The sequence below is a fragment of the Homo sapiens genome, chromosome X (genome assembly GCF_000001405.40).
Source record: "Homo sapiens chromosome X, GRCh38.p14 Primary Assembly".
Classification (NCBI taxonomy): Eukaryota; Metazoa; Chordata; class Mammalia; order Primates; family Hominidae; genus Homo; species Homo sapiens.
This window is the reverse complement of record NC_000023.11, coordinates 143,879,366-143,892,265: the sequence shown is the minus strand read 5'-3', so window position 1 is coordinate 143,892,265 and position 12,900 is coordinate 143,879,366. Positions and strand designations below refer to the sequence as shown.

The following is a 12,900-nucleotide window of genomic DNA, read 5'->3' as shown; positions in this document are numbered from 1 at the left end:
TTCTTTGTTTTGGTATGTTGTACCTCCATTTTTATTCATTTCAAATGAGTTATATTTTATTATTTTTTAATTTAAATGTTCATCTTAATTTTGTCATTGCCCACGAAATCATTCAGGAGTATGTTGTTTATTTTCCATGTATTCGTATAATTTCCAAGAGTTCTTCTTGGAATTGATTTCAAAATTTATTCTACTGTGGTCCAAGAAGATACTTTGTATGATTTTGATTGTTTGAAATTTATTAATACTTGTTTTGTGACCTAACATACAGTTTATCACCTTGGAGAACGTTCCATGAGCTGATGTGAAGAATGTATATCCTATGTTTGTTGTACAGAATGCTCTATAAATGTCTGTTAGCTCCATTTGATCTAAAGTCCAATTTGAATCCAGTGCTTCTGTTTGCTTTTTGTTTCTATTTCCATGAAATATCTCTTCATTTTTCTTTACTTTCATTCTATAAGTGTCTATCAATAAGGTGTGTCTCCTGCAAGTAGCATAGGGTCAGATCATGTTTTCTTTTAAAATCCATTCTGCCAATCTGTACCTTTTAAGTGGAGAATTTAATTCATTTATGTTCAAAGTTAATATTGATTTGTGAGATTTTGTTCCTGTCATTATGTTAATTATCTAGTTGTTTAGCTTCTTTTGTGTAAGTTTTTATAAGACCTGTGAGTTTTATACTTTTGTGTGTTTTTATGATGGTGACTGCTGACATCTTGTTTTTATGTTTGGAACTTCCTTGAACATTTCTTGCAGAATCAGTCTAGTGATGATGAATACCCTCAGTGTTTGCTTGTCTGGGAAACGCTTTATTTATATTTCATTTATGAAGCTTATTCTGGCAGTATACAAGACACTCATGAAAGAAACTTTAGATGACACAAACAAATGGAAAAACATCCTATGCTCATGGATTGGAAGAATTAATATAGTTAAAATGACCATACTTCCCAAAGCAATCTATAGATTCAATGCAATTTCTATCAAAATACCAACATCATTTTTCACAGAATTAGAAAAATAGTCATAAAATTAATATGGGACCAAAAAAGAACCTGAATAGCTAAAGCAATTTTAAGCAAAAAGAACGAAGCTGGAGGCATCATATTACCTGACTTTACATTATACTACAAGGAAATAGTAAACAAAACATTTCTGTACTGGTATACAGTTAGACACATAGATCAATGGAACATAATAGAGAACCTATAAATAAAGCCACATGCCTACAGCCAACTGATCAACAAAGTTGACAAAAACATACACTGGGGAAAGGATGCCCTTTTCAATAAATGGTGCTGGGAAAATCTAATAGCCACATCCCAAAGAATAAAACTGAACCTATATATCTCACCATATACAAAAATTAACTAAACATAGATTAAAACTTAAATGTAAGACCTGAAACCATAAAAATTCTAGAAAAAAATAGGAAAAACTCTTCTGGACATTGGTCTAGGCAAATAATTCATGACTAAGACCTGAAAGGTGAATAAAACAAAAACAAAAATAGAAAAATGGCACTTAACTAAACTAAGAAGTTTCTGCACAGAAAAATAAACAATCAACAGGGTGAATAGACAACCTACAAAATGGAAAAAAATATAATGTAAACTATATGTCCAACAAAGGACTAATATCCAGAACCTACAGGGAACTAAAAATAGCAGCAACAACAACAACAACAACAAAACAAATGACCCCATTAAAATGTAGGTAAAGAACATGAACGAACACTACTGGGGGAACCCACCCCCAATATTTCAATGTAGGTTCTATTTTCCATAAGTGTCAGCCCCTGAGAAATAAAGAGAGACAGTATAAAGAGAGGAATTTTACAGCTGGGCCGCCAGGGGTGACATCACATATTGGTAGGACTGTGATGCCCGCCTGAGTCTCAGACCAGCAAGTTTTTACTAAGGGTTTCAAAAGGGGAGGTGGTGTAAGAACAGGGAGTAGGCACCAAGATCACATGCTTCAAAGAACAAAAAGCAGAACTACTAAGGGTCTAACAAAGATCACATGCTTCTGAGGGAACAGAACAAAGGGCAAAAGCAGAACCACTGATAAGGGTCTATGTTCAGCAGTGCATGTATTGTCTTGATAAACATCTTAAACAACAGAAAACAGGGTTAAAGAGCAGAGAACCAGTCTGACCACAAATTTACCAGGGCGGAGTCTTCCCAACCCTAGTAAGCCTGAGGGTACTGCAGGAGACCAGGGCATATCTCAGTCCTTATCACAACTGCGCCAGATAGACATTCCAAGAGCGACCGTTTATAGACCTCCCCCGAGGAATGCATTCCTTTCCCAGGGTATTAATATTAATATTCCTTGCTAGGAAAATAATTTAGCAATATCTCTCCTACTTGCACGTCCATTTATAGGCTCTCTGCAGGAAGAAAAATATGGCTCTTTTTGCCCGACCTCGCAGGCAGTTGGACTTTATGGTTGTCTTCCCTTGTTCCATAAAAATCTCTGTTATTCTGTTCTTTTTCAAGGTGCACTGATTTCATATTGTTCAAACACACGTTTTACAATCAATTTGTACAGTTAACACATTATCACAGTGGTCCTGAGGTGACGTACATCCTCAGCTTACAAAGACAACAGGATTAAGAGATTAAAGACAGGCATAAGAAATTATATAAGTATTATTTGGGAACTGATAAATGTCCATATTAAGATGAAATCTTCACAATTTATGTTCCTGTGCCGCGACTCCAGCCTGTCCCTCCATTCGGGGTCCCTGACTTCCCGCAACAGAACACTTTGCAAAAGAAAACATGCAAATGGCCAACGAGCATATAAAAAAATGCTCAACATCTCTAATTAGCAGAAAAATGGGAAATTAAAATCATAAAGAGATGTCATTTACACCAGTCAGATTGGCTATAATTAAAAAGTCAAAAAATAACAGATGTTGAAGAGGATGCAAATAAAAGGAAAGACTCATACACTGTTGGTGGTGAAGTACATCCATTGAAAACAGTACGGAGATTTCTCTAAGAACTAAAAATAGAACTACCATTCCATCCAACAATCTCACTACTGGGCATCTACATAAGGGAAAAGAAATCATTATATGAAAAAGATACTGGCACTCATATGTTTACCACAACACTATTCACAATAGCAAAGATATGGAATCAAAATAAATGTCCATCAATGGATGATTGGAAAAAGAAAATTTTATATATACACACACAGACATATATATATATGTATATGTATATGTATATATACACATACATCATGGAATATTACTCAGCCATAAAAAATAATGCAATTGTGTCTTTTGCAGCAATATAAGTGGAATTAGAGGCCATTATTTTAAGTAAAATAATTCAGAAACAGTATGTCAAATGTTGCATTTTCTCACTTATAAATCAAAGCTCAATATTGTGTACATATGGACACAGAGAGAGGAATAATAGAGGCTTGGAAAGGTGAGAGGGTGGGAGAAACGTGAGGGATGAGAAATAACCTAATTAGTACAATGTGTACTGTTTGCATGATGGTTACATTAAAAGTACATACTTCACTACCATGCAATGTGTCCATGTATCAAAACCCCTAAATCTATAAACATTAAAATAAAAAATAAATACATATAATTACCTCTAAAAGGAGGATATTGTAATTAAACAAATGTGGCTGGAAAGACTATAAAATCCCCCATGAGATCAAGAAGACAGTAAAGGAAGATCTAGCAGAGTTGTTTTATGTATTAAATTGTGGTGATAAAGAATAAGCTTTCTTGTTTGGATCTCCACCAAGTCCTGCCTATTAAATAAATGGGTTGAATTTGGAAGATCATACCAACTGTGTTTCTATTTTTCTAATATTTTTCCTTTAATTTCTGGACCAAAGCCTGTGTTCCCCAAGAAGCATCTTTTGACGCCAGTCCTGAAAAATTTCCTCTGAACTCTTGTTGTGTCAGTTACCAATACCATTCACATGACTCTTTGCCTATGCTGACTGCTATGTTTTATTATTTACATGTAGTATCTATACTCTGTTTCCCCAACTGATTGGTGAGGCCCAGTGAAGGGGAAGGAAACCATCAGTTCTTCAGTTCCTACTCTGTACTAGTAGCTATATATTTAATACATTACTTTATCTACTTTTCACAGTAACTTCTTGCAGCTGGTATTATCTTTACTTTTTACAGGTAAAGAAACTGAAGTTTAGTGAACTTATATAATTTGCTCAAGGACAAATTCAGAATAGTTTGACACTAGAACTAGTGTCAAATTATTTTACCAGTATTTTAAAGTAAGAGTCTTTTTGCTTCTTTTACATAGTATATGCTTAGCCCTGCTTCTTGAACCATGTATATGTGTACTAATGTCTCTTAAGGATGATAAAGTATTCCTTATTATCAGTACGCTTTCGAAGTGCCTAAATATCTAAATATCTACACTTTTTCTAGAGTTTCAAATAACATTCATTACAAGGTAAATAATTTTCTGGTGAAAATACATTTTTATGTAATAAAATGCAATCATGTAAAAGATATTGAAGACCACAACAAAACTGCATGTCTGATTTTGTGATGAATTTTGCCTAGTTTCTGTTATTTTGATACATATGTGAGATATATATATATATATATATATATCCTATCTTACTTAAGTTCGCCATGTTATTTAAGTTCGGAAAAAGTATACAACTAAATCAAAGACCTTGCCTTTAGGTGTTTCCCTTATTTCCCTCAAATTTTGCATTAAAAAATATAAAATTGAATTTGCTTTAAATGTAGCCATAAGAACTTTTGTTATCCTTTGTGTTGATACGGATCACAGTCTTTCAGAATAACTGGTGAAAGCATGAGTTCGAGAAGTCCAGTTTTTATGTGATATCTACGGACTTCATGGGACAAATGGGAGGATACTTTTAACCTTCACGATCAATAGGAGTTTAGAAATAGGCTAAAAATCGATAGGAGTTTAGAAATAGGCTAGAAAAATAAAAACTTAATTAAAAATAAAAATGGCCAGGGGTGGTGGCTCATGCCTGTAATCCCAGCACTTTGGGAGGCTGAGGTGGGCAGATCACCTGAGGTCAAGAGTTCGGGACCAGTCCGGCCAACATGATGAAACCCTGTCTCTACTAAAAATACAAAAATTAGCCAGGCATGTTGGCGCATGCCTGTAATCCCAGCTACTCCAGGGGCTGAGGCAAGAGAATCGCTTTAACCTGGGAGGGGAATGTTGTAGCTAGACAAAATCGCGCCACTGCTCTACAGCCTGGGTGACAGAGTGAAACTCCGTCAAAAAAAAAGACAATTCACATGTAGTTTGGAAAACAAATCCCAGCCCTGACAGAGGAAATGGGATAGAGGAAGATGACACCTGCAAATTACTAAATTTTTACACAGAGCATAAAATATATATAAATCAGTAGCATTTTGTCATTTGGGGTAGATACAGGAAGTAGCCATCAATCTGAAGAAAACACAGTAAATTTTATCAATTTTCTAAAGCTTCAAACTTTTTGTATATTCTCAAGTAATAATCATATATAAGTTTCTTTTCTTTTTCTTCATTGAGTGTCAATCCACACCTATAGGCTAGAGCTAGATCATTACTCTGTTTTCTCACTGAATTATTTTGAGACCCACCTAATCTAAAAGTTTACATTTTCTTCCCCCTCCACACACCCCCAGGCAATCGATTCACAAGCAGCAGCCAGAATGACTCTGTTTTAAGTCAGTTCATATCATTCCTCAGCTCATAACATCCAATGGATTAATGACTTTCATGCAAAATAGAAGACCAAGTACTTTCCACGTGCTACAGAGCTCCACAGGATCTAAAATTCCATTAGCTTTGGAACCTCATCTTTGATTCCTCTCTCTTCTCGCTCACTTTTTTTATTTTTCCAACCGCATGAACCTTGTTCTTTCTGTATCATGGTAGAAATGCTCTCATCTCAGGAACTGCCTGACCCCTCTATCTGAAACGCTCTAACTCCAGATATCCTCATGGATATCTCCCTCAAACCCTTTTAACCTTTGTACAGTAATTTTCCATATCACTTAGGTCTGCCTTAATCAAACTATTTAAAATAGCGTGTGAGCACACACACACACACACACACACACACACACACCCTTCATCACCATCTATTCTTTTTACCTAACTTAATTATTCTCCACACCTCTTTGTCCTTTTAATATTTTATATAACGATCTTGCCTCTTATGTTTATTGTCTATCTCATTCCCACTAAAATATAAAACTTCATGAGGAAAGAGATCTTTGTCTATTTTTCGTTCAGTCTTCTAATACCTAGGCTAATATATGTCATATACTAGCAACTCAATAAATAATTACTTGATCAACTTTATTAGCTATTGTAAAATAAAATATAAAAAAATCTATTGCTGGGCTTTGGGATTCTAATGTATTAAAATGCATGGCTACATAAATAGATTAATTATACAGATTTTAGTGTTGAGAGAGGCATTATCCTGTAAAATGGTTAATTTACAGCGAGTGCAGAAGTACAGGAAGAATCAGGCTCAGTTATAATATTAATAAATTAACAAATGTTGACTTATAGTACAATAGAGAGGAGCTCTTAACTCAGGCAGATGAGGATTTGGATACCTAGACTACCACTAACTTTCTGAGAAATCTAAGGTATGTTCATGAGCTCTAAAGTGGCTCAGTTTCTTATCTGTACAATGACAATAATAATATAAGGATGTTGTAAAGCAATATAACACATGTATTCTTGGAGAATTTGTATTACTGACAAGAACTCTTTCTTATTAATAAGAGCTCTTTATATAGTAAGTATATTTTACCTTCTATATTTGTTGCATATAATTTTTTCCCTGCCTGTCATTGCTTTTAGCTTTTTCTAACAGATATTTTTATTACATTCAGGCTTTTCAACCTCAAACAATTTTCTCCATTTACCCAATTCATTTATCATTAAATCATTTTTATTCCTATATGTGCTTCACATTTCTTATAATTACCTAGTACTTTAAACTTTTTTTACAATAACAAAAAATATTTTAGTAAAACATAAGATTTACAGAAGTTTCCAGACAAGCCATACAAAATGGTCACAAGCTTATTTTGAAGGGGGGACTCTACACTTGACAGCAAAGTCACAATGTTATTAGTGAGGGCAGTGATGCTTGTTAAATGTTCCCATTTTGGTTCAAACAATCAAGCTTGTCCATCTACAGTGTCTAAATAAAGTTAGACTTGGATAGAGAGCATATTTCTAAAGAACTGGTTAGCTGCTTTTAACCAATCCAATTAGAGCACCAAAAAGGCGGGGAAAGGAGCCCATAAAATTAAAATAAAACTACTTACCCCCCTCAAAAAAATAAAGAAAAACACCCACACCCTTGCAGCTAACCTGACAACTACCTTCATTCACAGTGCTTTATACTTAAACCAGGATGGGGGAAATGAATAAAAGCAGGGAGGGACCACTGCTTTTAAACGTTTCACAACAATCCGGATGATACGTCTAGCCTCTGCTCATGCTTTATGACAGTGAATCAGGACAAGACATAGATTTGCTAATGTACATTTAATCACCAAATAACTGAAGATGTCTGGGTTTTTTTATTCTGTAATGTTTCTAAGACTATGTCCATTAAATGCAAGCAAAAAGGAAGAAGTCTTGGCAGAACAGGAGAAGTGATGCACACTTAATGATTGGATCAATTTAAATACTATTCATGGCATATAGCCTAGTCCATGCTCTAGCTGTTTCAATGGCTTGGGCTTCGTTGGTCTTCCACTGCTCCACTACATCATTTGCTAATGGATCATCTGGATTGGGAGCATTTAACAAGGCCTGGATCGATAGCAGAACTGTGCGGATCTGCAGGGCTGGGGACCACTTATCTTTCAAAATATCTCAACTTATTCTTTCCAACTTGTCTACATTTGGATGATAAATTTTGGTCATGAAACGTACTTTAGGGGCTGCCATTGGGTATTCTTCTGCAAGTAATAGTTCACGTTTAAAAGTCCCTCCCTCAAAGGGGGAATCCTTTGATTCCCCAGCAATGACCACATGAAAATAACGGGCGTTGCTTTCATCTGGTTCTGCTTTGATGCCAGGAACTGGCTCTGCCAGCAAACGCTGGGTTTCCTTGATGATCCTGTGGGGCAGCTCGGCCATCAGAACCTGAGTTCGGCCTCTGGTCTCATCCAGTACTTTATACTTTTATTTCTACTTAAAATGTAATATCATTTAATCATGTATTAAACAGCTATATACGAAATATATGTGCATGGGATTTTAAAACAATTTTTAATCTCACCATGTTAATGAACCATCTTGTAGTTTGAAACTAAGGTCAAGTTATTTTTCGGCCAGGCGCGGTGGCTCAAGCCTGTAATCCCAACACTTTGGGAAGCCGAGGCGGGTGGATCACGAGGTCAGGAGATCGAGACCATCCTGGCTAACATGGTGAAACCCCGTCTCTACTAAAAATACAAAAAAATAGCCGGGCGTGGTGGCGGGCGCCTGTAGTCCCAGCTACTCGGGAGGCTGAGGCAGGAGAATGGCGTGAACCCGGGAGGTGGAGCTTGCAGTGAGCCGAGATCGCACCACAGCACTCCAGCCTGGGCCACAGAGCGAGACTCCGTCTCAAAAAGAAAGGCATTTTTCTTAAATTTTCCAGATTGAACATCATATTATTTGAGTACATTTTTGTCTTTTTTGAGAATTTTTATTTTTCTCTATAATAAATATAACTTACAAAGTTAAATTTTAGAGATGATAGGAACTATATTCTTGTTTCTCTAGAATTTAATAAGAACATTTTATATTCTATCTTTAAGTTGTATTTGCTTCATAAGTAAATTTTAGATAGATATGATTCATCATATGAATCTAAGAATATTTATGTTTTTCATTAACTATATTATATGAGGGATAGACACAAATTCTTTTTACATATGCCTCACTGGACTCTACCAAGATGATCATATGGTTTTGCTTCCTTTTCTCTTGATGTGATGAACTACATAAGTAGAAGTTTCAAGAATAAAAAAACACCCTACTAGTTCACAATGGATTGCTCTTTAATTATAGCTCTGTGTTAGAATTAGTAGTATTTTATTCAGTGCAAGTATTTCTGTGTGTAGAAATAAGATTAAAACAATGAATAATATTTTGCATTTTGCTTCAAGGAGATGTTATGTTTACAAAATGAGTTAAGTTCAAAAAGAGCTCATAGCTTTTTGAGTCCTATAACACCATAAATGGGTGATAATTAGTTACTCCATAATACGTTCAAATAAATCACCTCCTATAAAACCTCTGGAGTGGGTACCATTTTTAAATGTGGCCCTTTTTCTCTTATTTTAATTTAAATCAATTAATAATAATTTAATTTTTCTATTTCTTGAAAACATTTGCATGAATTACCTTTTTCCTAGAAACATCATCAATTTCAAGACTTTTAACTTTATTAGTATAAAGTTTGATATAGCTAGTTATCATAATTTTACATTATTTGTGGTTATATTAACATTTATAAGTTTGTATGTATGTGCTTTATCTCTTTTGTCCACTTATCAGGTTTCCTAGAAATTGTTATTCTAATTGAAATTTTAACAAATAGTTACATAGTATTAAAAATTAATTCTATGATTTTATATTTTTTATCAATTTTATGTTTTATCTTTTAAAATTCATACTTTAATATTTTTCTCATTGCTATTTTATAATTATTACCTTTAATGTTTACATATTATAGCTCCATTTTTTGTTTTACTTTGTAGTGAAGTCAAATGAAGCTAATTATATTTTACTGAACACTGTGACTATTTATGGCTTGGCCAGTTACATTTTAGCAAACACCACTTCAACCCCATGATGAAGATCTGACACCTAATTTTCTCCTTGGATTTCTTTTTAGAATTATCTATAACTACAGTTATAATTTCTTCTTTGACCTAAAAAATAATTTTGTAAAACATTTTCTCTTTTATCTATTTGGGTATTTCATTTTAATTCACATCATTATTTTTAAATATAAGCACATTATGGTCCCAATGTGTGGCCTTTCTTAAACCTGAATTTTAGAATTTATTGAAATTTCTATATAGCGCAATTCACAGAAACTCACAAAATTGATATCTGTATGCCAGAAAGGAATTTTGCAATTAGATGGATAAATGGAAAAACAGATTTACACATAAAACATTCCATTAATTAAATAGAATTTAATTTTATTCAGTGGAACGTAGAATTGTTCAGTCACTAAATCTATATCATTTGTGTTTACCAATTTCATTTAGCAAACATATAGCAAGCTGTGTAATGCACTCCATGTATGATTGCATTTTGTCATTTTCTACTATGCATATAAATTTATATTTTATATTTTGATGAAATATTATTCAGTACATAAATAATTATTATCGTGATACCTGAGTTGTTTTGTCTGACTTTCAAATATAAGGTAAACATTTTATTCCCTTTCAATGCTTTTAGGCTTGTCCTCAACTTTGTAATAGCATTAAAATATCTGTTTTCATTTTGCTATGTTTTCCATGATGTTTCTGCCTAGATTTTGCTAAATTTTTTTTGAAATGTATGTTTTATGTGTTTCTCTTTGTATTAGTCTAGACAGGCTGTTTTTTTTTTTTTTTTTTTTGGAAACAACTAAAAAAACCTCAATTTCTGAACACAATACCTCATTTCTAGAACATTTCCTTCACCATAACATATACTCACAAGGTTTCATTGAGACGCAAGGGGAAAGAGTGCTGGGAAATGTGGGTTTTTAGTGTTGCAAGGTGAGGAACATTGTTTCTGCCATAGTCTGTCATTCTGTTCATCAAAGGTCCATTCACTCTCCTTCCTTTTTTTTTCAAAGCTGTTTGCTTAGGATGGCTTTATTAATTAAAGCTCTTTTTTTGGCTCCAAATTAATTTTATAGTAGATTTTTCTAATTCTGTGAAAAATAATGTTGGCATTTTGATTGAGATAGCATTGAATCTGTATATTGCTTTGGGCAGTAGGGCCATTTTAACTACATCCACCATGGAATTTTTCTTATTTATTTGTGTCATCCCTGATTTCTTTCAGCAGTGTTTTGTAGTTTTTTTTTTTTTTTGTAGAGATCTTTCACTCCTTGGTTAGATGAATTCCTGGGTATTTCATTTTCTTTGGGGCTATAGTAAATGGGATCATGTTCTTGATTTGACTCTCAGCTAGAATGTTACTCGTGTATAAAAATGCTACTGAATTTTTTACATGGATTTTGTATCCTGAACCTTTAACTAATCTATTAATCAGCCCTAGAAGCCCTTTGGTGTGGTCTTTAGGGTTTTCTATGTATGGAATTTTATTGTCAGCAACGAGATAGTTTAACTTCTTTTCCTATTTGAATGGCTTTTTTTTCTTTCTCTTTCCTGATTGCTGTGTGTGGATAGAATTTCCATTACCATGTTGAATGAAAGTGGTAAGAGTGGACACATTTGTCTTGTTCTAGTTCTCAAGTGCAAGGCTTTCAGCTTTTGCCCATTTAGTATGATGTTGCCAGTGGCTTTGTCACAAACATCTCTTGTTATTTTGATGTACTTCCTCCAATGCCTAATCTGTTGAGGATTTTTATCATGAAGGAATGTTGGATTTTATTGAAGGTTGTTTTTGCATCTACTGAGATGAGTGTATGAGATTTGTTTTTTATTCTGTTTATGTGGTGAATCATATTTACTGATTTGCATGTGGTGAACTAACTTTCCATCCCAGAAATAAATCTTACTTGGTCATGGTGAATTAACGTTTTGATGTGCTGCTGGATTCAGTTTGCTGAATGAAGCTGGAGGCATCACACTATCCAACCTCAAACCATACTATAAGGTTACAGTAATCAAAAAAGCATGGTACAAGTACAAAAACAGATGCATAAACCGGTGGAACAGAATAGAAAACACAGAAGTAAACCTACACAACTACAACCATCCGATTTTCCACAAAATCTACTGAAATAAGCATTGACAATAAGAGTGCCTATTCAATAAATAGTGCTGGGATAACTGGCTAGTCATATGCAGAATAATGAATTGGACCCCTACCTCTTACCATATATGAAAATTAACTCAAAATGGATTAAAGACTTAAATGTAAGAGCTCAAATTATAAAAATGCTAAAACAAAACCTAAGAAACACCTTCTTAACAAGTTTTGGCAAAGAATTTGTGGCTAAGTCCCCAAGAGCAATTACAACAAAAACGAAAAGTAATAAGTGGCACCTAATTCAACTAAAGAGCTTTTGCACAACAAAAGAAGTTACTGACAGTAAACAGACAGGCTACGGAATAGGAGGATATAATCACAAATTATGCATCTGATAAAGGTCTAATATCAAGAATCTACAGGGAACTTAAATCAACAAGGAAAGAACAAAAATATCCACTTAAAATGGCAGAGAATATGAACAGACACTTCTTAAAACAAGGTGTACAAGCAGCCAACAGCATATAAAAATGCTCAACATTGGCCAGATGCAGTGGCTCACGCCTGTAATGGCAGCACTTTGGGAGGCTGAGGCAGGTGTATCACAAGGTCAGGAGTTCAAGACCAGCCTGGCCAAAGTGGTGAAACCCCGTCTCTACTAAAAATACAAAAATTAGCTGGGCTTGCTTGCGGGCGCCTGTAATCCCAGCTACTCAGGAGGCTGAGGCAGAGAATTTCTTGAACCCGAGAGGTGGAGGTTGCCGTGAGCCGAGATTGTGCCACAGCACTCCAGCCTAGGCAACAGAGCAAGGCTCTGTCAAACAAACAAACAAAAAAAAAAAAAAAAGAAAGTTTTGCTGTTGTTGTTTTCGTAAGTGCCATTTGGCACTGTATGTAATTTCCCATTCACAAAAATTTCTCTCTCAGCCTTCTGTAGATC

General features: G+C 34.4%; 1 pseudogene across 1 annotated transcript; it reads right to left on the bottom strand.

Moving 5' to 3' along the window:
* On the bottom strand, positions 7,011-8,195 carry UBE2NL (ubiquitin conjugating enzyme E2 N like (gene/pseudogene); annotated as a pseudogene). Its single transcript, NR_121210.1, has one exon. The product of NR_121210.1 is annotated as a ubiquitin conjugating enzyme E2 N like (gene/pseudogene), transcript variant non-coding (transcript).